General features: G+C 52.3%; 1 protein-coding gene across 12 annotated transcripts in view, besides 4 other annotated features; it reads left to right on the forward strand.

Moving 5' to 3' along the window:
• RAP1GAP2 (RAP1 GTPase activating protein 2) overlaps positions 1 to 25,115 on the forward strand; it is a 282,097-nt gene that overhangs the window by 84,439 nt on the left and 172,543 nt on the right. For 2 of the 12 annotated variants that reach the window (NM_001411049.1, NM_001438817.1), the window contains exon 1: positions 13,601 to 14,019. The exons of the other annotated variants lie outside the window; for them this stretch is intronic. In NM_001411049.1, coding sequence (NP_001397978.1) covers positions 13,913 to 14,019 — 107 coding nt within the window. In that variant the 5' untranslated portion in view covers positions 13,601 to 13,912. Of the gene's footprint in view, positions 1 to 13,600; positions 14,020 to 25,115 lie in introns of those variants that run through there. 12 annotated transcript variants of the gene reach the window in all.
• Positions 1,680 to 2,179: an enhancer, noted in NCBI's record as "H3K4me1 hESC enhancer chr17:2745057-2745556 (GRCh37/hg19 assembly coordinates)". NCBI's record gives its function as "activates a minimal SCP1, AML or CMV promoter by ChIP-STARR-seq in naive H9 embryonic stem cells {active_cell/tissue: H9 hESC(naive)}" and the evidence as "EXISTENCE:reporter gene assay evidence [ECO:0000049][PMID:30033119]".
• Positions 7,660 to 8,251: an enhancer, noted in NCBI's record as "H3K4me1 hESC enhancer chr17:2751037-2751628 (GRCh37/hg19 assembly coordinates)". NCBI's record gives its function as "activates a minimal SCP1, AML or CMV promoter by ChIP-STARR-seq in primed H9 embryonic stem cells {active_cell/tissue: H9 hESC(primed)}" and the evidence as "EXISTENCE:reporter gene assay evidence [ECO:0000049][PMID:30033119]".
• Positions 9,434 to 10,024: an enhancer, noted in NCBI's record as "H3K4me1 hESC enhancer chr17:2752811-2753401 (GRCh37/hg19 assembly coordinates)". NCBI's record gives its function as "activates a minimal SCP1, AML or CMV promoter by ChIP-STARR-seq in primed H9 embryonic stem cells {active_cell/tissue: H9 hESC(primed)}" and the evidence as "EXISTENCE:reporter gene assay evidence [ECO:0000049][PMID:30033119]".
• Positions 16,049 to 16,571: an enhancer, noted in NCBI's record as "H3K4me1 hESC enhancer chr17:2759426-2759948 (GRCh37/hg19 assembly coordinates)". NCBI's record gives its function as "activates a minimal SCP1, AML or CMV promoter by ChIP-STARR-seq in primed H9 embryonic stem cells {active_cell/tissue: H9 hESC(primed)}" and the evidence as "EXISTENCE:reporter gene assay evidence [ECO:0000049][PMID:30033119]".

Genomic DNA, 25,115 nt, shown 5'->3' on the forward strand with positions numbered 1-25,115 from the left:
TGTTGGCCTTGGTCACCTGGCTGAGATAGTGTTTTGTCAGATGTCTCCATTGTAAAGTTATTCTTTATTTTTAAATTTTTATTGATTGATTGAGATGGAGTCTCACTCCATCTCACTCCAGTGTCACTGGAGTGCGGTGGCGCGATCTCGGTTCACTGCGACCCCCACCTCCTGGATTCAAGCGATTCTCCTGCCTCAGCCTCCCGAGTAGCTGGGATTACAGGCGCCCACCACAACACCCAGCTAATTTTTGTATTTTTAGTAGAGGTGGGTTTCACCACATTGGCCAGGCTGGTCTCAAACTCCTGACCTCAGGTGATCCGCCCACCTTGGCCTCCCAAAGTGTTGGGATTACAGGCGTGAGCCACAGTGCCCGGCTGTTATTCTTTATTTTCTTCCATCCGTAGTATACTGTTCACATCTAAGGAGCAGGGCATTATATTTTCTTTCTTTTCTTTTTTCGCTATGTTTCCCAGGCTGGGCTCAAACTCCTGGGCTCAACTTGATCTCCTGCCTTAGCCTCCTGAGTAGCTGGGACTACAGGCATGAGCCATCATGCCTGGCTTATATTTACTTTACCTTCTATTTATGAGAAATGATTATATCCATTTATGATGTGAACATAAAGTCTTGGCTGGGCACCGTGGCTCACGCCTGTAATCCCAGCACTTTGGGAGGCTGAAGTGAGTGGATTGCTTGAGGCCAGGAGTTCGAGACCAGCCTGGCCAATATGGTGACACCCTGTCTCTACAAAAAATACAAAAATTAGCTGGGTGTGGTGGCCTGGGCCTGTAGTCCCAGTTACTCAGGAGGCTGAGGTAGGAGGATTGCTTGAGCCCGGGAGGTGGAGGCTGCAGTGAGCCGAGATTGCGCCACTGCACTCCAGCCTGGGTGACAGGGTGAGACCCTGTTTAAAAAATAAAAAGACCGGTGTGGTGGCTCACGCCTGTAATTCCAGCTGCTTGGGAAGCTGAGGCAGGAGAATCGCTCGAACCTGGGAGGCAGAGGTTGCAGTGAGCCGAGATTGCGCCACTGCACTCCAGCCTGGGCAAGAAGAGCTAAAGTCTGTCTCAAAAACAAACAAACAAACAATAAAAAACATGAAGTCTTTATAATATTAATTTATAAAACATGAAGTCTTTTCAGTATTTAATTTAAAAATTAAGTCCATTTAAAGAAAAATATTAAGTAGAGAGAAAAGTTACAAGAGATATGGGGAATTTTTTTTTTTTTTTTTTGAGACGGAGTCTTGCTCTGTCGCCCAGGCTGGAGTGCAGTGGCACGAACTCGGCTCACTGCAACCTCCACCTCCCAGGTTCACGCCATTCTCCTGCCTCAGCCTCCTGAGTAGCTGGGACTACAGGCGCCCGCCACCACACGCGGCTAATTTTTTTTTGTATTTTTAGTAGAGATGGGGTTTCACCTTGTTAGCCAGGATGGTCTCAATCTCCTGACCTTGTGATCTGCCTGCCTCGGCCTCGGAAAGTGCTGGGATTACAGGCGTGAGCCACCGTGCCCGGCCGATTTGGGGACATTTTAAAAAGCAGGAAAGCCACCCTGGAATGGTAGATGTCAGAGAAATGCTGAAGGCAGGAAGATGTTGAGAGTATGGTCTGGGAAAATGGCTGGGGCTCAGTGTCATCTCCTGGCCTGTTTCCCAAATCCCCTTAAGACAAGGAACAGGAAGTGACTGATGTAGCCTCTGAGAAGTCTCAGACACAGCGCAGAGGGGCCATGGCTACCCCAGGGACGGGTGTGATGACTCCCTGGGGTCACGGCTTTTCCTCCCTCCCTTCTCTCGGGCTCCTCCTGACCCCACAGCATTCCCAGCAGTTTCTGGCAGGCAGGTGAGGAGACCTGGGTCAGGCAGGCTGTGGCAGCTGCCTGTGCAACTGGCCCTGTGGCGTGCAAGCCTCAACCCTCTCTACAGCTCAGGGTCTGAAAGGCGGTGCCAGGTACTGGGTCCTTCCGCCCATGTTATCTAGTTTCCTCCACAACCTGGGGGAGTATTGGGGTCCTTGTCATTCTCATCACTCAGGGGAAGAGACCTGTCCAGGTCACCAGCTGGTCAGGGCCCACGCTTGGGTAATAGGTGAATATTTGACCTCACACCTTTGGATGTGAAACAAGTTACACTCCTTTATTTTTCTAAAAAGTCTTTTAAAAATATGGGCTAGCCAGGTGTGTGGTGGCTCATGCACTTTGGGAGGGCGAGGCAGGCAGGTCACCTGAGGTCAGGAGTTCGAGACCAGCCTGGCCAACATGGTGAAACCCTGTCTCTAACAAAAATACAAAAATTAGCCAGGCGTGGTGGCACATGCCTGTAATCCCAGCTACTTGGGAGGCTGAGGCAGGAGAATTGCTTGAATCCGGGAGGCAGAGGTTGCAGTGAGCCGAGATCGCGCTACTGCACTCCAGCCTGGGTGACAGAGCGAGATTCCGTCTCAAAAAAAAAAAAAAAAAAAAAAATACCACTTTTACTACCCTCTAGGAATGGCATGAAATACAGTAGTTTTGGAGCCCTCCCCTCCCTAGAGTTGCCTAAAAGCCGTGGGTGCCCTAAGAGAGACCTTTGAGTCGAGCCACTGCTTTGACACCTTTCCTTGGCAGGCTGGTGGTGTGAGGCTCTGGGTGTGAGCATCCTTTAGACGCCCATCTGAGTTTATGCCTCCAGTGTCAGGGCCGAAGGTGGGTCTCCATCCTGAGACCTCGCTGTCCCACCCTCTCCTCCCCTCCAGCCAATCCAATTCTGTCAAGTCAAAAGCCTGGGAAAGTTTTTCTGGGGCAGAGGAAGCTGAGGCTCCAGAACATGGAATCCTCCTTCTTTTCTCTCTCTTCCTCCCTTCCGTCTTTCCCCTTCTTTTCTTTCCATGGTATTTATTGAGGGCTAGCGTAGAGCAGACGCCATCCTGAGTGTGGGGTAGGGCGATGACTAAGGTGTACACGGTGTCTGCCTCCGTGGAGTATACATTCCACCGGGGGCTGGTGTGGGGCAAATAGACAAGAAAACAAGCACACAGACAAATCAGCAACAACAAAAAACCCAAAACCTCAACCTGGAATAATACATGAAGAAAACAAGCCAGCGGCTAGGTGCAGAATCACTAAGGGTGTGTCCTGCAGGTGAGTGGTCAAGGAAGCCCTCTCTGGGAGGCAACATGCTTTTGGGATAGGTCTATGGTGGAGAAACAACTCAGTTAATTTCCCTTTTTTTTTTTTTTTAATGGTGTCTCGCTCTGTCGCCCAGGCTGGAGTGCAGTGGCGCGATCTCGGCTCACGGCAACCTCCACCTCCTGGGTTCAAGCTATTTTCCTGCCTCAGCCTCTTGAGTAGCTGGGATTACAGGTGCATGCCACCATGACTGACTACTTTTTTGTATTTTTAGTAGAGACGGGGTTTCACCATGTTAGCCAGGCTGGTCTCGAACTCCTGACCTCAAGTGATCCACCCACCTCAGCCTCCCAAAGTGCTGGGATTACAGGTGTGAGCCACCGTGCCCGGCCCAATTTCCCCATTTGGTGGTTCAGTTACATTGCATCATTAATAAAGTCTCCTGCCTCCCACTACCTTGCAGGGTGGGGCGGGGTGGGGCTGAGATGGTTTCCGTCCAGGTTCTCCAAGAAAGACAAGAGCTTCGCCTTCCCAGAGTCATGCTGAGTGTACTTCTTATTGCTGACATGGGGCCACGTGAAGGTCACTACTGGCCTTGCCTGGGCAACATCTTTCCCCCTGTGATTGGGAGGACGTGATTGGCACACTTAAGTCCTTTAGTTATCAGCTGTGATCCATCATTTGTGACCCACAGAGCCCCTGATTCTGCCTTGTGGGTACAGTGAGCGAGGGGTTGGGGGCGGGGGTGGAGGAAATGGACAGAAGCAAAGAGTTTGGAGCGTTGGGTAAAAGGAAGATGGCCGGCGCGCTTTTTTTTATTTTTATTTTTATTTATTTATTTTTTGAGACGGAGTCTTGCTGTGTCGCCCAGGCTGGAGTGCAGTGGCTCGATCTCGGCTCACTGCAAGCTCTGCCTCCTGGGTTCACGCCATTCTCCTGCCTCAGCCTCCGGAGTAGCTGGGACTACAGGCGCCCGCCACCATGCCTGGCTAATATTTTGTATTTTTAGTAGAGATGGTGTTTCGCCATTTTAACCAGGATGGTCTTGATCCCCTGACCTCGTGATCTGCCCGCCTCGGCCTCCCAAAGTGCTGGGATTACAGGCATGAGCCACTGCGCCCGGCCGGCCAGCGCGGTTTCTGAAGCTGCTTTGGGACTTGGAGGGTTCAGAGAGTGGGAACTGAATTTTTTTCCCCTAAGAGTAGAGAGGGAGTTGCTTACACGAAAGAGCTTTGATTACAACAGGAGTGATGGAGGCTAGACAGCTGGAAGGATTTTCCTTATGGAAAGGGGGTGGAAAAGCCCCAGAAAGCAGGCCTGGTGGAAAGCTTGCACATTGCAGACCTGCAGTTGCTCAGCAGGAGGTTTGGAGCTCAGCTCCCGGCTGGGTGAAGCTCTGGGAGTCTGTGTCAACACCTAGGGAAGATGAGCTTTGTGTTTACCTTTTAGGCTAAAAGGACTTAATGTCGGGGTGGGAAGGATCATTAACACATCAGTGACTCAGAGTCCAGAAGGAAACTGTTGTCCTTCCTTCTGTCACGAAGGAAACTGTCGTTGGCTAAGCCAAGCCGGAAAGTCTTTGATTACACCCACAAAGAGGGGCATTTTCCCCTGGACCCAACCCAGAGTTCTCTTCAGGGACTGATAGAGGAGAAAGAGATGAATTCAGACAACAGGGAAATAAATTAGAATTTATTAGGAGTCGGGTAAAAGGGTCCCCAACCTATAAGTTTTCTAGTTAGTCAGGCGTGTGAGCTGGCAACCAACCCCTGCCAGTTTCTGCAGTCCACGGGGTGGTCCCCAGGAGGTTGAATGAAAGAATCAGTGTCCCCGCCTCATCTGGTCCCGGCCTGCACACTGTGCCTAGTACCCTCATCCCTGCACATGTATGGCACTGACTACATAAGTTCTAGCCCAGAGGCACCCAGCAGTGCCTCAGTCTTTTTTTGTTGTTGTTTTTTGTTTTGAGACGGAGTCTCACTCTGTTGCTCACGCTGGAGTGCAGTTGCATGATCTCAGCTGACTGCAACCTCTGCCTCCCGGGTTCAAGTGATTCTCCTGCCTCAGTCTCCAGAGTAGCTGGGATTACAGGCGCCCACCACCACGCCCAGCTAATTTTTGTATTTTTACTAGAGACGGGGTTTCACCATATTGGCCAGACTGGTCTTGAACTCCTGACCTCAAGTGATCCACCTGCCTTGGCCTCCCAAAGTGCTGGGATTACAGGCATGTAAATGCACAAATCTTCATTATACATTTTGGACAAATGGATCCTTCTTCCATCCTGATATAGAACATTTCTGTCTGTCCAGAAAAATCTCCCACATCCAGAGGCAGCCATTGTTCTAATGTTTTTGTATCTTAGATTGTTTTAAAACTTCTTATCAGCTGGGTGTGGTGGCTCACGCCTGTAATCCCAGCACTTTGAGAGGCTGAGGCGGGCGGATCATGAGGTCAGGAGTTCGAGACCAGCCTGACCAACATGGTGAAACCCCATTTCTACTCAAAATACAAAAATTAGTTGGGCGTGGTGGTAGGCGCCTGTAATCCCAGCTACTCTGGAGGCTGAGGCAGGAGAATCGCTTGAACCCTGTAGGCGAAGGTTTTGGTGAGCCGAGGTCGCACCACTACACTCTAACCTGGGTGACAGAGTGAGGCTCTGTCTTAAAATAAATAAATAAAATAAAATAAAATAAAATTTCTTATCAGCCGGGTGTGGTGGCTCACGCCTGTAATTCCAGCACTTTCGGAGGCCAAGGCGGGTGAATTCCGAGGTGAGGAATTCGAGACCAGCTGGACCAACATGGTGAAACCGAGTCTCTACTAAAAATACAAAAAATTAGTCGAGCGTGGTATTGGGAGCCTGTAATCCCAGCTACTTGGGAGGCTGAGACTGGAGAATTGCTTGAACCCGGGAGGTGGAGGTTGTAGTGAGCCGAGATTGCACCACTGCACTCCACCCTGGGCAACAGTGCGAGACTCTGTCTCAATTGAAAAAAAAAAAAAAAGTTCTCATCAATGGAATCCCGTTGAAGCATTTTAAGCATTTTTTGGTGTCTGGCTTCTTTCACTTAGATCTTGCTTTTGAGGTGCTTCCTTGTTGTTGCATGTGTCCATGTTTTGTTCCCCTTTATTATTGGGTCGTATTCCACCGCGGGGATGTACCACAGCTTGTTGATGGACACTTGGGCTGCTTTCCGACTTTGGCGGTTTGTTTTGTTTTGTTTTGTTTTTGAGATGGAATCTCACTCTGTCACTCAGGCTGGACTGCAGTGGTGCAATCTCGGCTCACTGCAACCTCCGCCTCCCAGGTTCAAGTGATTCTCCTGCCTTAGCCTCCCGAGTAGCTGGGATTACAGGCATGAGCCACCATGCCTGGCCAACTTTGGCTATTTTGAATAAAATGGTGATGAACATTGTCATGCAAGTCTTTGTGTAGAGCATGCATGTTCACTGAATCCTTGCAGTAGCTAATAGGTTGGCACTGTTGTTATTCCCATTTTACAGATGAAGACACTGAGGCACAGAGGGGGTGAATTCCTAGTCCAAGGCCGCATGCATAGTAAAAGCTGGGGGTAGGATTCTAACCCAGGTTCGTCTGACTGCAGCATATGTATTTTTATTCCCTCACTGTAGTGTCTTTGCACCACAGCTGTTTGGGGCCATTAAGCCTAGGGACAAGTGGGCATCTCCTCTCAATGGCCTGTCAATTCCTAACTGCATTTTAGCTCACAATAGTAGTTGATAATAATGGTAGTGTTGATAATAATGGATTTGAGTCACCACAAAAAGATTCCATCAAACCTGCCTTTATTTTTATCTGTTTATTTTTGAGACGGAGTCTTGCTCTGTCGCCCAGGTTGGAGTGCAGTGGCGCGATCTCGGCTCACTGCAACCTCCACCTCCCTGGTTCACGCGATTCTCCTGCCTCAGCCTCCCGAGTAGCTGGGATTACAGGCGCCCGCCACGTTGCCTGGCTAATTTTTGTATTTTGAGTAGAGACGGGGTTTCACCATGTTGGCCAGACTGGTCTCGAACTCCTGACCTCGTGATCCACCCGCCTCAGCCTCCCAAAGTGCTGGGATTGCAGGTGTGAGCCACCGCGCCCGGCATCAAACCTGTCTTTAAAGGACAACAGCATTTGGAGGCGTTTGAGAGAAATCTCTAGCTAGGGTCATTACAGTAACTAACAGCAAGCAAGGAAGCAAACAAAAAGTCTTGCTACCCAAAGCCCTAGTCGCCTGGAAATCTCACATAGTTGTAATTCGTCATCTCCCAGAGAAGCCAGGCACAGAAGGCGTTACTGGATATATAAAATAGTATATAAATAATACATGTATAAGAAACCACTCTGTTCTCTGTAGAGCCAAACAGAATAGGGTTTTGGAGAGTCTGCTGGTTCTCGCTTTGAAAGATGTTGCTAAGCAATGTTGCTAATATTATGGAAAGACAGCTTCCCTCCCGGCTTTTCCACTCAGCCTCAGAAACTCTGGAAGAGGTGGAAGTGGCTTCAGGAGTAGCAGCAGCTGGGGAGGTTTGGTAATCAGTGAGGCGGGGGCCGGGGGACCTTGGGTTGGAGAGGGACTGTGCTGTAGGCCACCCAGCCCTCAGCCTCATCCGCTCCTGATTCTCTGTACTGACTCCTGGGCGGCCTCTATGCAAAATAACACCTCTTCCTGTTCGTCAGAAATTTCACACACAGAAGGATCCTTTTGAATTTTTTCACTGTGGGAAAAATTACTGTAGTCATGCAGCTTAGCAAAAATTCAAAAATCCATAAATGAACTTCAAAAAAGGAAGTATTTTAAATAACTTCAGTAACCCAAGTGATATATGAAGAACTTCTTTATTCCTCCCTCTACCCACTCTCCATAATCCCTGAACAGGAAGTCGGCAGGGTTCTGATTGACATCACGTACTGCAGGCCCCACCTTCATGGCTCTGGGTACCAGAGCGCAGGGTGCCCGCCACTGAGTGGGATCTGTGGGTTTCCTCAGCGTGGTTTCCTTTCCTTGGAGCTTGGAAATGCCACACAAGTCACAGAGATCCGTTTCCAAAACCTGAGCCAGTTTAGATCCTCTGCTTAATATGACGTCTGTGGCCCCAGGAAAGTTGGGCTGAGCTGAGGTTTCCCAGGCTTGTCTTTGAGGCCTCCGAGTCCTGGCCTGCGTTTATCACGGAACGACCCTATTGTGGTGGGATGGACCTCTTGGGGGCTGGTCATGGGTTCTGTGAGGGGATTTTAGAAGCTGGGAGGAGAGTCAGTATGTTGGCAGAGAGTTTTCCTGCATCTCTCTCTTTTCCTTCTTTTTTTTTTTTTAATTAGTTATTTATTTATGAGATAGAGTCTTGCTCTGTTCCCCAGGCTGGAGTGCAGTGGCACGATCTCAGCTCACTACAACCTCCGCCTCTGGGCTCCAGCAATTCTCCTTCCTCAGCCTCCCGAGTAACTGGTATTCCAAGCGCCCGCCACCACGCCTGGATGATTTTCGTATTTTTAGTAGAGACGGGGTTTCACCATGTTGGCCAGGCTGGTCTCGAACTCCTGGCCTCAAGTGATTCGCCTGCCACGGCCTTCCAAAGTGTTGGGATTACAGGCGTGAGCCACCGCACCCGGCCCAGCTCTCACTTTTCAAAAATAGAAACTGCTTCCCGACCTCAGATGACTTCAATCTTTCCCTTCCCCCGACGCCTTCCTGCCTCCCTCTTCCCCCTCCTCTGTCTTCCTCCTAAGGGGGCATCCCAGAGACGCAACTGTGCTGTGGCCCAGCAGGGGGCGCTGATGTACCTGCCAAGAGTGGAGGTGTCTTAGCACAGGTGTGAGCGTTCAGCTGTGTGCGAGCGGGCTTCAGAGTGATATCCCAGAGCAGGTGTGTGTATGTGTGTACCCTCAAAGGCAGAAGAGAGCGGGGGTGCTGGACCGTCCTGTCCAAGGCTCTGTTTATAACCCTTGCGTTGTCCCAAAGGTTGTGTGGTCCATGGAATAGCTGGGACCCTGCCCGTGGAGGGGAGGGGCAAGGCGTTTGAAGACATCTGGTTTTCATCAAAGGCCCCACCCTCCTTGCTCCATGGCCCCCCTCGCCCCCACCCACCCCCAATCCCAGCCCAGAACGGTGGCAGTCATTCTGCCCAGCAGTGGGGCGCTGGGAGTTGGTGGCTGGGTGGGGCGACGAGGTGGCGTCTGCTGCAGGCTGGCTCTCTGACGAGGGGCACGGGGATTGGGGCTGATTCCCGCTTTCTCATGGATATGTCTCCTGGAGCCGGTTCCCAGGCACAGAAGGCCCTTTTCTTCAGGGCCAGGCATGCGTGTCTGTCTGCCTCAACCCACTGGCCCCTCAGGAACGGGCTGTGCAGCTGTCTGCGCTCTGTTCATGATTAACTTCGCTGTCTCCCGCCCCAGGCCTGATTCCCACCCAGGCCCCCTCAGCCTTTGGAGTTCCCCTGGACTGGAAGAGAGACCTGGGCTGGCAGCTGCCGGGCACTTTGTTCTCTGGGACTGTGAGCTTTGGAGGCTGGAACAGGCCATGGAGGTCCTGAGAGCTGGGACGCCGTGGGGCATAAGTTGGGTGAGGTGAGACCTGCAGGAAGACCCCTTCTCTGCCGTCAGAGACTTCTGCCGTCCTCATTTCCTGCGGTCTGCATGTATCCAGCTTTCTCAGCCCACCCCAAAGTGCCTCATGAATGTGGCCTTGGAGCAGAGTAATGTGAAAATTCTTCCCTGTCCGTTCTCTTTCGAACTGTGATTTCTTCAAGAACAGTGCCTTGGTTTGGCGCAGGTGTGTCACTAACACCTAACACTGCCTGCTTTTTTTTTTTTTTTTTTTGAGATGGAGTCTCGCTCTGTTGCCCAGGCTGGAGTGCAGTGGTGTGATCTCGGTTCACTGCAACCTCTGCCTCCCGGGTTCATGCCATTCCCCTGCCTCAGCCTCCCGAGTAGCTGGGATTACAGGCACCCGCCACCACGCCCGGCTAATTTTTTGTATTTTTAGTAGAGACGGGGTTTCACCATGTTAGCCAGGATGGTCTCGATCTCCTGACCTCATGATCCGCCCGCCTCGGCCTCCCAAAGTGCTGGGATTACAGGCGTGAGCCACTGCGCCTGGCCCGCCTGCTTTTTTAAGGAAGGTACTTCAAGCTTAGAGCCTTTGTCAGGCAACAGTATTGAGGCAGAACTTAATAAATTTATGTTTGTTTTCATGGTAGGAAGGGCAAGTGATAATGGATTTTCATTTAGGGTTGCAATAACGTTTTCTTTTAAAATTAAGTAAAGGCAGCCGGGCGCTGTGGCTCATGCCTGTAATCCCAGCACTTTGGGAGGCCAAGATGGGCGGATCACGAGGTCAGGAGATCGAGACCATCCTGGCTAACACGGTGAAACCCCGTCTCTACTAAAAATACAAAAAAAACTAGCCGGGCATGGTGGCGGGCGCCTGTAATCCCAGCTACTCGGGAGGCTGAGGCAGGGGAATGGCATGAACCCGGTTGGCGGAAGTTGCAGTGAGCCAAGATCTTGCCACTGCACTCCAGCCTGAGGGATGGAGCAAGACTCCACCTCAAAAAAAAAAAAAAAAAAAAATTAAGTAAAGGCCAGGCGCGATGGCTCACACCTGTAATCCCAGAACTTGGGAGGCCAAGGCAGGCGGATCACCTGAGGTCAGGAGTTCGAGATCAGCCTGGCCAACATGGCGAAACCCCGTCTCTACTAAAAATACAAAATTAGCCCGATGTGGTGGCGAATGCCGGTAGTCCCAGCTACTCAGGAGGCTGAGCCAGGAGAATCGCTTGAACCCAGGAGGTGGAGGTTGCAGTGAGCCAAGACCGTGCCATTGCACTCCAGCCTGGGCGACGAGCAAAACAACGTCTCAAGAAAAAAAAAAAAAAAAGTGAAAAAGTAAGTTGATGTAATTAAAGCAAAATTATAAACAGCAGAGCAGCATGACACTAAGACAAAGAATTATGAAGGAGGTGGCGTGTGGCCCAATTGTGGGAAGCTTTGGCTGGGCTAACTGCACACACTGGCTGGAAATGGTCTTCTTTTGAGGTTTGGAGTGTGTTAACCCTGTTTGTTTCGGGCAGGGATGGTCTTCCATTTTTCTTTCTTGCCCTGGTCTCTTGCATAAAGCTGGACATACTGTACATGTTTAATAAATGCTGGTGGAATGGGTAAGCCTAGCATTGATGGTTGTTCCAGTCTCTGCTATTGATGGGTTTTCTTGTGCTTTGGGGTCCCCTCTGTGGGGTGTGGGTGTGATGGGCTGTGGGGGCTGGAGTGGGAGTTAAGAGGGGAAATTGCTGTTTATGCACCAAAGGTGGCGAGCTTGTAGGGCAGGGGCAGAAGGATGGGACCTCTCACTGCCAGGAAAATTCTACCTCTTAGAGACTCAGGAGTCAGGGGCTGAGAGGTTACGATTTTTTGGGGGACAGCCTTGTGTTTGCAGTGACACTGGGCTTGTAGAAGGACTTAGAGGGCTGGGAACCCCAGAATAAGAGAATGAATAATGGAACCTGCATGGTGGATTTTGTGCCTTCATCATCCCAATTCCCTGTTGTAGTTGTTTGGAGAGGTGGGGTCTCACTATGTTGCCCAGGCTGGTCTAGAACTCCTGGTCTCAACTCAAGTGATCCACCTGCCTGCCTCGGCCTTCCAAAGTGCTGGGATTACAGGTGTGAGCCACCCTGTTACCCACTGTGCACTTGACCTGAACTAGCTCCCACACTCTCACCTGCTGGGAAGGAGGATCAGGCCTTCCGTTGAGGTGCAGCCTTCTGTGTGTGGGTAAAATACACCCAACGCTAGGATAGACCTAAGCCAGCGCCCTCATCACCTTCCCTGCCATCTAACTGAAGCGGTCCATCAGCTAACCTGTGGGTCCTCGGGTGCTGTGTGCTATAGCGCGGTGGGAGAGAGGGGAAGAGAAGCTCTGGGTTGCATGCTGCTGGGAGCTCTTCCCTTTTCTCTACCAAGGACACTCATTTTATTCTTTTTCCAGACCAATTCTTAAGTCACTACTGGCATAGTACTTGCAGCCTGCCTAACCGCCAATCTCAGGAGTGGGGCCCGGGTCATTCAAATCTCTAGCTATAAAAAGATGTCCATGGCTATCTATATCTCTGATCCCCCACAACCCCGGCAGGGAGGGGGTGGGGGTGGGGGTGGGGGGCACAAGGCCAGTGGTAACGGCTGCTTCATAAATAGACCAGGTGCATTTAAGAACCACCCTGGGGCTTCCTCCCCTCCACCCCAACTCCAGTGCCAGCAGGAAGCTGTGGGCATTGGAGAGGCAGGGCTGAAGCCTCAGGCCCTCGAATTCGTTTGCAGTCCCTCTCCCCTCTCCACCCAGCATGGTCCCCTCCCTGCCTGGATTTTCTGTGTTTGCTTGAACACCAGACTATTAAAAACAAAACAAAAAACAAAACAACAACAAAAAACAAGGCAAATTGCCTCAGGGGGAACCTCTTCGGCCCCAAAGATGGACTAATTGGCTTGTTCTAATTCCTTTCAGCCCCCTGCCCACTTCCTTTTCCCTAGAGGGGCAAAGCTGTGAGTGATGCTTCGGAGGGGTGAGGCGGGAGGGGGCTGGGAGGCTGGGCAGCACCTGGAAGTGGATGAGGGCGATTGTGAGCGAGGCCCCGCGCCGATGGTAGGGACCAGGCCACAGCCCTTTCCCCAGGAGCCGGCGCGACCTTCCGACCTTCCGACCTTCCGCCCTTCCTTTCCGAAGGAGATGAGGCTCGCGCGCGGCTGGCAGGGGCGGGAGGGACCACGCGACGAGTGCGCAGCGGCCAGGCCCGGGTGGGCGCGGGGAGGGCGGAGTGGGGGGCGCCCGGCCCGCCAGGAGGAAGCGGGGTCGCCGTGAAGTTGGTTATTGAACCCATGTGGAGTCAAACTCCCAGGGCCGGGAGAGCCAGTGTTCGCGGGGAGCCGACCCCAGCCCACTCTGCATCCCAGCTCGGCGATCCTTGCGCCGACTCTGCGGGGAGGCGGGGGCAGAATTCCGCCTCGTTCCTCCCATCCGCAAGCTCCCACCCGGGGACCCGGGCCCGGGAGCTGCGAGCCGGGGCGGGCGCCGGGCTCAGGTGCCCCCTGTAAGCGCTGGGCGGCCGGGAGGGGACGGGGACCGCGCGCGGGCAGTTTCGTTTGGACGGAGGAGGACGCGCGTTTCCTCTTGGTGCCTGTTTTCTCTCCCTCTGTTTTAAAAGCAGTGACAGCATCGGGGAAGTATCCGGGGCCGGGCCGGGGAGGGCGGCAGCCGCCTCTGCCTGGGGAGGGAGCTCGGGGCCGCCGGCGGGAGTGCGGGCGGGGACCAGAAGGAGCGGGCGAGGGGAGGCAGGGCCGGGGCCGGGGAGGGCGCCTGGGAGCCGGGCAGGGGGGTCCCGGGAGCGCTGTCCGCCTCCTCCTGCGCTTCGCCCGCTCCCTGTGCCCCGCGTCCTCCACCATCCGGGCGGCCGAGGCCGGGGCGCGGGAGGCGGGGCCGGGGCGGGTCCCGGCGCGGGCGGCGCGTCTGAGCGGGAGCCGGGAGCCGCCGGCCCGGGCCGCGCCCCGAGCGAGCCTCGGAAATGCCCGCGCCGGGGGAGCGGACGGCGGCTGCCCCGCGGGCCCCGAGGAGACGCTGAAGGTCGCCGGGAGGGAGGGGAGAGCGCGCGGTCACCTGACCCCCGGGGCGCACCTAGGCGGGGCGGGGCCCATGCGAGGCGGAGGCCGGGGGCCGGGGCGCGGGCTCAGGGGCCGGGTGCGGAGCGCGCGGAGCCGGGGCTGCGGGGACGCGGGCGGGCGAGGTCGGGCACCGCGGGCGGCCTCGCCATGTCCCAGCCCGCGGGGAGGAGGCATTGCCGAAAGGCGGGGATCCGCGCCGCCGTGGTGCTCATCGGACTCCTGCACAAATCCCGGAGGCAGAATAAAGAGAAAAGGTAAACCCCTGCAGCGCCGGCCGCTTCCCTCCGCTCTCCTGCTGCATGCCAGTTTTCTTTGGGGTGGACTTTTCCGATGGGTGTTTGGTTCCGTGTTGGTTAGAAAAAAGCCTCCTCTCCAGGTACCGTCGTGCGAACCGAGTTCGGAGCTTCGCCCCGGACCCTGGCTGGTGCGAGGAGCCTGGGCAGGACCTTGGCGGAATCGGAGGGCCGCTGGGAGGGCGCATCGGGGTGGATCCCTGACGGAGGGACCCCAAGTCCGTCGCCCCCAGACCCTTTGCAGACCGCGACCCCGTTCCCCAAGCCTGCAGCCGCGGATGCCATTGATCCAGCCCAGGCGGCTCCATGCGCCGGTGTTGCCATTTGCTTCCTGCAACTTGGCTGAGCCCTCGAGGTGCCTGCCTGGCCGAGATCCGCTTGCTCTGCGCTCGGTGCCGGCAGGCGAGGAGCAAGTTTGGAGGTTGTTCGCTCCCCACCCACCCTCTCGCCCCACCGCCATAGGGTGACTTTGCCTCTTCGCCTTTCTGGCGTTTGTTCTTTCGTTTGCTCCTGGATATTGAAAATAGTTTTCTTTAGCTATTTCAGAGACATTTTGGACGACCTGTGTGGTGGGAGGTGTGGGGTTTGGAGTAGGCAAAGGAGGTTCTGAGGAAGCTTTCTAGGCTGCAACCGCAGCTGCAGGTCTGACATCCACCAGACCCCAAGGAGCTACCAGGCAGGTCGTTGGCACAAAGCCTCCCTGTTCTGCTAGGGTGCATGGCAGAGCCTCCAGCAATGGGGGGAGGGGAGTGCGGAAGCTGACTGCCCACAGAGATGTTGCCGGGATCAGGATTTGGGGTAGCTTCCAGTGACCCTGCTGGATCCTAGTTTCCAGAGGAGTTTTGGAATGGTTAATACCGCACCCTATAAGACACGGGCAGTGGAACCAGAGACACCTGGGGGTGACCAGCAGCCCCTGGATATGCCCACAGGTATGAACGTACCTGGGGTGGTGGTAGGCAGGGAATACGGGGGACTTTGAGAAGCTGGCATGGATTGCCCTTGTGGTGGGTTGTCCCCCATTCCTCTCGTCCCCCCTTCCTATAATGTGTGTAACAAGATGTTGCCCGCTGCACAGAATGAATTTCCCGTGAAAATGACATAAGGTGGTTCAGCATGAAATAACATTGAGTCACCTAGTGAGAAAGTTCTTCCCTTTTCAGTTCTCTGCGAATCCTTGTGATTTCTTTGAGGGGAAGTTTCAGGTGGATGCTAGTCTGCCTTTAACACATTTTAAACACTTGCTAATCTTCCTTTTGTAATTAAGAGAGAGCAGACCTCCGGCTCCCGGTCCTCTGAGTGGGGAACAGTTGCCTGGCTAGAACTTAGGTTGTTTTTGTTTTTGTTTCATTTATTTTTAGGATTCTCTCCTGGTTAATGGCCAGTGGTACTGATGTTTTTCCATTTGTGGTAGTGATATAAAACATCTCTTTAAACATATGAAGTCACAAGAATTAATCTATTTTATTTATTTATTTATTTATTTTTGAGGAGGAGTCTCACTCTGTTAGCCCAAGCTGGAGTACAGTGGCGCCATCTCGGCCCACTGCAACCTCCACCTCCTGGGCTCAAACAATTCTCGGGCCTCAGCCTCCGGAGTAGCTGGGACTACAAGTACCCACCACCACGCCCAGCTAATTTTTTGTATTTTAGTAGAGACGGGGGTTTCACCATGTTGCCCAGGGTGGTCTCAAACTCCTGAGCTCAGGCGATCCACCTGCCTCGGCCTCTCAAAGTGCTGGGATTACAGGCATGAGCCACCGTGCCCGGCTGAAGTGAATCTATTTAATAGAAATAGTAGTAATAATAATACAAGTGTTAACAAATATAGTGGAAATCCTGCAAGTGGTCTAGGAATGGCTGATGCCAGCGACATGTGTGTCTAGCAGAAGAAGCTGCCATGGGAACTCTGGAGTGCAATGTTCCAGGGCCTGAGTCCATCTTCCCCTGGACTTGGATTCCCTTCTGTTTTCTGCCCTTCAGCATTTTATCTGTAGAGTGGTGGTGAACAGGTCAACTCTGAGACAGCCTGGGCCTGCTTTGAGGGCTGGAATGGAAAATGGGCTTGATAGAAAGGCAGATGCGTGGGACCAATTCCTGATTCTGAGTATAGAATGGGTGGTGGTTGGGGGGTGGAGAGGAAAAGCCCCCTGCACAGAGAGCGAGAAGTTCTCTTCCTGGCTCATCTGTTGACTGTGGTGTGATGGTAGATTTCATCTCTGGGAACCTCGGTTTCTGCCTCACCACAAAGGGCTGTGAGGCTCAAGTCAGATCATGTGAGTGGAGACAGGACAGAAAGGTACAAAGTGCTGCATAAAGGTAACGGGGGTTTGATCGGAACTGTTCCCCCTCTTCTCTCCCTGAGCCTGTGCTCCTGGTGACCAAGGTCAGATGTCCGGTGGTGACAGCCCCACCAGTAGCAGTCAAGACCAGCCATGCATGGGCCAAGGGGGCAGCCAGGTGGGTTTGAGCCTGGGCAGAACTAGTCTGTGGGTGGTGGGGGCAGGTGCAGTGAGGCCCAGGGAAGGACCCGGATAGGGACAGGGAGGGATTGGCTGGGACCCGGGTACCCCAGGCCCATGGAGTCCTTTATTTCTTCCTGAGTGCACTGTGCTCTTAAGAGCCTGCAATGCAGGCAGACATTGGTGGCCTTCCTAGCCCCTGGCTTCATCCCGTTCTTCTGTCGCTCCAACCATCCTGGTGGCTTTGGCCATGGACTTAACCTACCCAAGGAGAAAGAGTGATTGATTTCATCATGGTGCTAAGTGACCTTTGCTTCCCTCTCTGTATCTGGAGTTTCTTTGTCTCTTTAAGCGTCTGAAATGAGTGCAGCAAGCACTATTGACCCTTGCTCTGCAGGTGCTGGTGGCCACGGGAGGCCTGGAGCAGGCTGCAGCTGCCAGCCTCTCTTAAGCATCCCCCATACTCCATGCTGGGCGTTACATTTGATGAGCTCTTCCTTCCACCACCTCTCATCACAAGGTGGGGTCAGGCTCAGGCCCCTTCTTCTCCTCCCAGAAGGCTTGATCCATCCATCGATCTTCCCAGCACCTGTAATTGACAGGCTTGTGCAGATAACACTGTTGGCTCTTAGCCTTAAGGGTTGAAATGGTTGTGTGTGGCTTGCAGGGACCACCCAGTGGTCTTTTTCATCCTCCTGCTCTCTCCAGGCCACTTGGAAATATTGCGTATTAGGGGACAGGGAGGTGTGCCAGCCAGGGTAGTCATGAGACAGATGTCCCATATAGTCCCAGAACTAGGAGACTCCCAGCTAGTCTTGGTAGTTCCCAAGAACTGTGCTCCAGGCTCCAACTTCAATTTCCGTTTTCGAGAAATGGGCGTGGTGATCATCATGTTGGACTTGACCGTGCTCTACGGGAGCTGTGGGGCAGCCTGGAGGTTATGCCTTTTTCTGCCCATCTTTCAGGGTTTCTGGCACATGGGATCCTGTAAAAGCAGTGGCGTGTCTGAGAGGGGATTGGGTTTGAGTATGGCTCCCAGGAGACACCTGGATGAAGCCTTCCTCAGAGACTGCGGTTTGGAAACCACTTTGATTTTCAGAGCCTGCTTCTTATGGATGTGGGTAGTGGGGAGCTTGGCTCCCTGAGGGGGAAAACAGGCAGCTTTGCTGGGAAGGACGGAGGCCGAGGAACACGATCAAAATATGTACGTTCTTGGCCGGGCGCGGCAGCTCACGCCTGTAATCCCAGCACTTTGGGAGGCCGAGGTGGGTGGACCACCTGAGGTCAGGAGTTGAAAACCACCCTGGCCAACATGGCAAAAACCCATCTCTACTAAAAATGCAAAAAGTAGCTGGGTGTGGTGGCGTGCACCTGTAATCCCAGCTATTCAGGAGGCTGAGGCAGGACAACTGCTTGAACCCGGGAGGCTGAGGTTGCAGTGAGCTGAGATTGTGCCACTGCACTCTAGCCTGGGCAACACAGCGAGACTCTGTCTCAAAAAAAAGGTACGTTCTGAAAGATGTGGATAAAGTCACTGTGGCCTTGGGTGTGACTTTCTGAACTGGAGAGAGGTCATTTAGCATAAATGAAAACAAGTCCACTTCTTATGGTGGGTAGTTATTTTGAGACAGCTCCCATCATGGAGTTTATGAGGAGGAAGATATGGATTCTCTCATCATTTAGCAAATTCTGGCAGGCTGTCAGGGGAGAGCTCGAATCTGATGAATGTGATCCCTTTGTTGTGGAGTATCATACCTGGTGGGTTATTCCTGGGTAGAAAAAGCCTATCGCAATTCTTGTTTAAAAAAATTTTGTTGTGAAAATTCTCAAGCATACACAAAAGTAGAGAGAATAGGGTAACATAATACCTACTTTCAGCCATTATCAACTTACGGCCCCAATCTTGTTTCATTTATGTACCAATGCACTCCTCCACAAGATTATTTTTTTGAAGTAAATCTCAGGTACTAGATCATTTCATTCTTAAATATTTCAATTTGTATCTTAAAGATAAGAATTCTTGGCCAGGCACGGTGGCTCACGCCTGTAATCTCAGCACGTTGGGAGGCCAAGGTGGGAGGATCACCACTGGAGCCCAGGAGTTCGAGACCAGCCTGGGCAATATAGTGAGACTCATCTCTACAAAAAAAATAAAAAAACATAGCTGAGCATGGTGGCATGTGCCTTTGGTCCCAGCTACTCGGGAGGCTGAGGCATGAGAGTTGCTTGAACCCAGAGGCAGAGGTTGCAGAGAGCTGAGATAGAGCCATTGCACTCCAGCCTGGGCAACAGGAAAAAAAAAGTTAAGAATTCTTAAAAAAACCCCCGTAACACTACCGTTATTATACCCTCTAAATTAACAGTGATTTCTTAATACCATATTTAGTCAGTATTTGAATTTCCCCAGTTGTCTCGTAAAAGTTTTCAAAAGTTTTTTTGAGTCAGAATTCAAACAATACTATGTGATGGGTGATGTGTCTCTTAATCTGTATTTTCCTCCAACTCTTTTTTTTTTTTTTTTTTTTGAGACAGAGTCTTGCTCTGTCACCCAGGCTGGAGTGCAGTGGCACGATCTCGGCTCACTGCAACCTCTGCCTCCTGGTTTCAAGCCATTCTCGGGCCTCAACCTCTCAAGTAGCTGGGATTACAGGCGCCTGTCACTACGGCCGGCTAATTTTTGTATTTTTAGTAGAGATGGGGTTTTACCATGTTGGCCAGGCTGGTCTCGAACTCCTGGCCTTAAGTGATCCACCTACCTTGGCCTCCCAAAGTGCTGGAATTATAGGATACATGAGCCACCCTGCTTGGCCCTTTCAACTCTTTTAAAAAAATTTTAATTTAATTTTTTTGGAGATGTGGTCTCACTCTGCCACCCAGGGTGGAGTGCAGTGGTATGATCTTGGCTTACTGCAACTTCCGCCTCCTGGGCTCGAGTGATTCTCCCACCTCAGCCTCCCAAGTAGCTGGGACTACAGGTGTCCGTCACAACACCCAGCTAATTTTTGTACTTTTTGTAGAGATGGGGTTTCGTCATGTTGCCCAGGCTGGTCTCGAACTCCTGGACTCAAGTGATCTGCCCACCTCGGCCTTCCAATGTGTTGGGATTATAGGTGTGAGCCGCTGTGCATGGCCCACCCAACTCTTTTTTTCTTACAATTTATTTATTGAAGAAACTGGACTGTTTGTCTTGTGGAGTTTCCCACAGTCAGGATTTTGTGGATGGCATCTCCTGGTGTTATTTAACATGTTCTGCTGTCCCCTGTGTTACCTGTAAGTTGGTATTTAGTTCTAGAGGCACCATCAGATTTGTTTTTTGTTGTTGATTGTTTGTTTTTTTTTTTTGGCAAGATCGTGCCATTAGTAATTGTGTAGTTGTCTCTTTTTGCGACGTTAGTCATTGTTGATTGATTTGTTTCTAGGGTGTGAACCTGGTATCGGGAGATTACCTGTGTCCTGCCATTGCAGGCAGCCCCATGAGCTGGCTGGACATGAGGACTGTGCCTGGGGTTTGTCCAGAATTCTGGCCTTGCAGTCCCAGAGTCCCAGAGCTGGAAGGGGCATGAGACAGGAGCCGATCCACTCCCTGGTCCCAGAACAGATGGCTGCTTGTTCTCTCCTTAGGAGGCAGCTGGGTCCTGCCCTTTCTGGAAGGGCCTGTCTCCTGTCCTCTTCTGTCTGATGTTTGAATGACACCCGGTGGGCTGTCGTTGCTTTAAAGAACAAACACCTCCCTTTAGCCAGCTTCCCACTATTCACTTCACCAAAGGTCTGAGGCCTTAGACCATTCGAGTTGAAGGGACAGAATGTGAGGTGCAAATGAGTTTAATTCCTCCTGAGCCACTATTTTAATCTCCTGCTTGGTCTCCTGGCTTCTAGTCTCCCTTATCCTCTCTCCTTATGGTGGCCAGAGTGGAGTTTAAAACATTCAAATAGAACCAGGTCTCTCTCCTGTGGAAAGCTCTCCATAGACTTTCCATTATACTTATTTATCTTTTTTTTTTTTTTTTTTTTTTTTTTTGAGACAGCATCTTGCTCTGTCACCCATTCTGGAGTGCAGTGGCGCGATCTCAGCTCACTGCAGCCTCCGCCTCCTGGGTTCAAGCGATTCTCCTGCCTCAGTCTCCCAAGTAGCTGGGATTACAGGCACGCACTACCGTGCCTGGGTAATTTTTTTGTATTTTCAGTAGAGATGGGGTTTCACCATGTTGGCCAGGCTGGTCTTGAACTCCTGGCCTCAAGTGATCCTCCTACCTCAGTCTCCCAAACTGTTGGAATTACAGGTGTGAGTCACCGCGCCTGGCCGACTTTCCGTTATACTTTAAATGAAATCCCAACTCCATAGTCCGGCCCACACCCCCTGCCTGCTTCTGTGACCTCACCTCCCAACTTGTCGTCCTTTCCTCCTGGTGATCACCATGATTCTGTTGCGGAGGCCTCCTTTCCACACTTGGAACATGGCAGGCTCGCCCCTGCCACAGGCCCTTTGCACCTGCTGTTTACAGTGAGCTCATTGGCTGGTGCTTCCTCATCCCCGGACTCTTCACTCACATGGCATCTCTTTCAAAAGGCCTCCCCTGACGATCCAATCTAAGCAGCTCCCTCCAGTCATTACTGCTTTACCCTGCTGTATTTCCTCCATGGTACTCCTCATTTACTGATCGTATCTAGTGTGTGCAATAAATAGTTGATTGGCTGTTTCCTCCCCTAGAATGGAAACTGTTTCAGAGCGGGAACTTTGCCTTCTTTACCTCTGGGTCTCCATTGCCCAGAATAGGAGATGCTCAGTAAATATTTGCTGAGTGAATGGATGGAAGCCCAAGAGGCCTCCTGGCTCCCCTAAGTAGAACGTGCCCATTGCCTGTTTCTCTGGGGTCTTTTTTTTTTTTTTTTGAGACAGAGTCTCGCCCAGGCTGGAGTGCAATGGCGTGATCTGGGTTCACTGCAACCTCTGCCTTCCAGGTTCAAGCGATTCTCCTACCTCAGCCTCCCAAGTAGCTGGGATTACTGGTACCCACCACCATGCCCAGCTAATTTTTGTATTTTTTTTGGGGGGGGGGACGGAGTCTCGCTCTGTCGCCCAGGCTGGAGTGCAGTGGCGCGATCACAGCTCGCTGCAAGCTCCGCCTCCCAGGTTCATGCCATTCTCCTGCCTCAGCCTGGGCCCTCCTCCCGTGCTGAGTAGCTGGGACTACAGGTGCCCGCCACCATGCCCGGCTAATTTTTTGTATTTTTAGTAGAGACGGGGTTTCACCATGTTGGCCAGGCTGCTCTCGAACTCCTGACCCCAGGTGATCCACCCACCTTGGCTTCCCAAAGTGCTGGGATTACAGACGTGAGCCTCCATGCCTGGCTCCCTGGGGCCCTTTTAATACTCAGCGCCCTTTCTTTTGTCTGAGATTGGGGACTGTCTCCCTTCTCTCTCCTTTCTTTCCTTCTGGAAGAGATTTTGTAGAGAATTGCAAATGATCACTTGCCCGTGTGTAGCTCTGTCATTATGCCTTGCCTCTGCATAGCTTTGGGACCCGTAGACGTGAGAGGGACCAGGCTCAGCCATGACCGTCCTGAAGCTGGGGCCAGGAGCCAGGGCTCTTCTTGACACTGCGTTCCTAAGTCTTGGGTCCTGGAACTGCCGCCTGATTGGCAGAGGCAGCCTCCCTTCATTTATGCCAAAGAGGGGCAGTGGGCGTCTGAATTAGTGGACAGTCGCCATTAGCCAATATATATATTTTTCTAAATGCAGTTTTATCTCTTTGGAGCTTGTGTGGTGCACAGATGGCTGCTTACCAGGATGTTGCCAAATAGAGGGCTTGTCAGGCCTGTTCGGTGAAATCAACGAAAAGCACTTCTGTTCAGACGGGGGCTGCTGAAGGGCCCAGGAAGTCTCTCAGTCATTTTAAGCAGATGAAGCACCCCCACGCCCCCCAACTCCCTGCCCCTCAACAAACTCAGTTTCTTTGCCTACTGAATCCATAAAAAGTAAGTGAGGTAGGCAAGATGATTTCAGGTGGACAAGTGCTTTTTATTTTAATAGCTACTTTAAGAAATGAATCCTGGCAAGTGATACTGGTTTTCCATGTATGATAGTTATATAACGTTAGAAAACCCGAATATGGGCTGTGCACAGTGGCTCACGCCTGTAATTCCAGCACTTTGGGAGGCCAAGGCGGGCGGATCACTCAAGGCTGGGAGTTCGAGACCAGCCTGGCCAACGTGGCGAAACCCCGTCTCTACTAAAAATAAAAAATTAGCTGGGCGTGGTGGCGTGCGCCTGTAATCTCAACTACTTGGGAGGCTGAGGCAGGAGAATTGCTTGAACTTGGGAGGCAGAGGTTGCAGTGAGCCGAGATTGCACCACTGAACTCCAGCCTGGGTGACAAAGCCAGACTCTGTCTCAAAAAAAAAAAAAAAAAAAAAAAAAGTAAAGTCAGGCCCATCACTTTAGGGATTCCACTAAGAGTGTCTGGGTGGTGCCCGGGGTACCCTTTATACCCATGGCAGAAGGAAGAACATGGCTGGTATTTCATAAGCTGAGATTTCTGAGTGCGGGGGTCCTGGTTGAACCCTGAAGAGGGTCTCGAAGAATCCAAGCTCATTTCTAGGGGTGAGTACACTTGATCAACCTTCCCTTCTCCTTCCAGGCAGACTAGTGGGAACCTGGAGCAGACGCTGTGTTTATTCAGTGCCCTTGGAGCAAGGGTGGATTGAAAAATTGTCACTTGCTTTTAAGCTTATCAGTTATGAACACTGTATTTCATGAAGGCTGGAGCTCCAGCCAAGTCCTTTCCAGAGTCCTCCAGGGCTGGGCAGCCTGGCTGGGAGCTGGGGACGCCTCTGGAGACATGTCGGCCCCATGTGTGTCCTGAGACAGCTGACCTTGCCTTATGGTTAGTCCATTTCTCCAAAGGCAGGAGTTGCGGGGGGCCTGTGGATGAGAGCCACCTCCTCCCTTCTTTCTCCCTCTTCTGCCTTTTTCTCTTTCTCTACTGTAAAGATCTTTATCAGTCACACTGAATGCTGTGTGGCAGGATCAGGGCACTGTGATGATACCTGTTGTCAAGAGGGCTTACTCTGGAGGGTAAAGCAACTTGTAAGAACCCCATAAGGGAGGCATCTCTCTTGTCTTTGGTTGATGGATGGGGCTGAGTTAAGAGTCTAGTAAGAGTGGAGGTAGGGCCGGGCACGGTGGCTCACACCAGTAATCCCAGCGCCTTGGGAGGCCAAGGCAGGCGGATCACCTGAGGTCGGGAGTTCGAGACCAGCCAACATGGTGAAACTCCGTCTCTACTAAAAATACAAAAATTAGCCAGGCGTGGTGGTGGGTGCCTGTAATCCCAGCTACTCAGGAAGCTGAGACAGGAGAATCGCTTGAACCCGGGAGGCGGAGGTTGCAGTGAGCCGAGATCGCGCCACTGCACTCCATCCTGGGCCACAAGAGTGAAACTCTGTCCCCCTCAAAAAAAAAAAACAGTGGCGGCGGGAGCCCCCGGTTCCTCACCGTCTTGTCCCGTACGTAGCAGCATGCCATCCTGACTGCGGAGAGTGCAGACAGCAGCAGCCCTGCCACCTAGGAGCTTGCAGTCTGAGGCGGAGGTGGGGAGTGGGCCCCTGCAGACTCCTCATATGGTTAGGAAGCCTGTCCTCTGGACCAGACACAGTCCTAGGTGCTGAGGACGCAGCAGTGGGCAGCAGAGAAGCAAAGCCCTGTCTGGCTGGAGCGTCCATGCCTGATGGGTGTTATTCTGCCCACATACTTTGTTTTTTCCTTTGGAGCTGATATTTTAGAATTGGAAGATTCCACATTGTGAATCTGTTTTTCAGTCTTGAGAAATCAGAAGCTCTGGGAACACTGGCTGGACTGGCCTTCCCTCATTACACCTCAACTTCTAGCTACCTGATCAGTACAGGGCTGGTAGCCTCCTGCTCACTGCAGCCCACCTACACCTGGCCACACCTTTGCTACCTGCCCCTTCCCTGAAGGACGGGACGTACGGTGTGGGGAGCAGGAGGCTGGGGGTTGGGAGCTCTGGGTGTAACCCTGTGAACACAGAGGCTGGGGGTTGCATCCCAGTCCTGTGCGTCCTTTGGGACTTCTTGGTCTTGGCAGATCCATTGCGATGAGAAAGGAGGGGTCCCGGCAGCCTAGCGGGGCGCCCTGTGGGAGCTGGGCTGCAGAATGGCCACTGTGGATTTGCCTTCAAGTATTCCTCCTCCCTCCCCCTCCTGAATTACCTCCAAACAAAATGACAGAAGTTATGGGAGGCTGCGCGTCGCAGTACAGAAACTCAGGAATAACGTGAGAAGGGACAGAGACAGAAACACTCGTGGATCCCCGCTCTGGGCCTGCACCTGCCTGGTACTTATGCTTCACTTACCTCATTTCATTCTCTGCATGACACTGATGATCATTATCTTCATTCTTCATAGAGGAGAAAGCTGAGGTTCAAAAGGGATGGCGTCTCCAATGTCACCTAGCTCGTATAACAGAGCTGGGATTCCAATCTGTCTGGTGCCAAATTCTATGCTTTTTCTCCCACCACCAATTATATGGTGACCCTGGCTGAGGTACTTAACACCCCCGTGCTACAGTCCAATGAA

This window comes from Homo sapiens, chromosome 17 (genome assembly GCF_000001405.40).
Source record: "Homo sapiens chromosome 17, GRCh38.p14 Primary Assembly".
Taxonomy (NCBI): domain Eukaryota; kingdom Metazoa; phylum Chordata; class Mammalia; order Primates; family Hominidae; genus Homo; species Homo sapiens.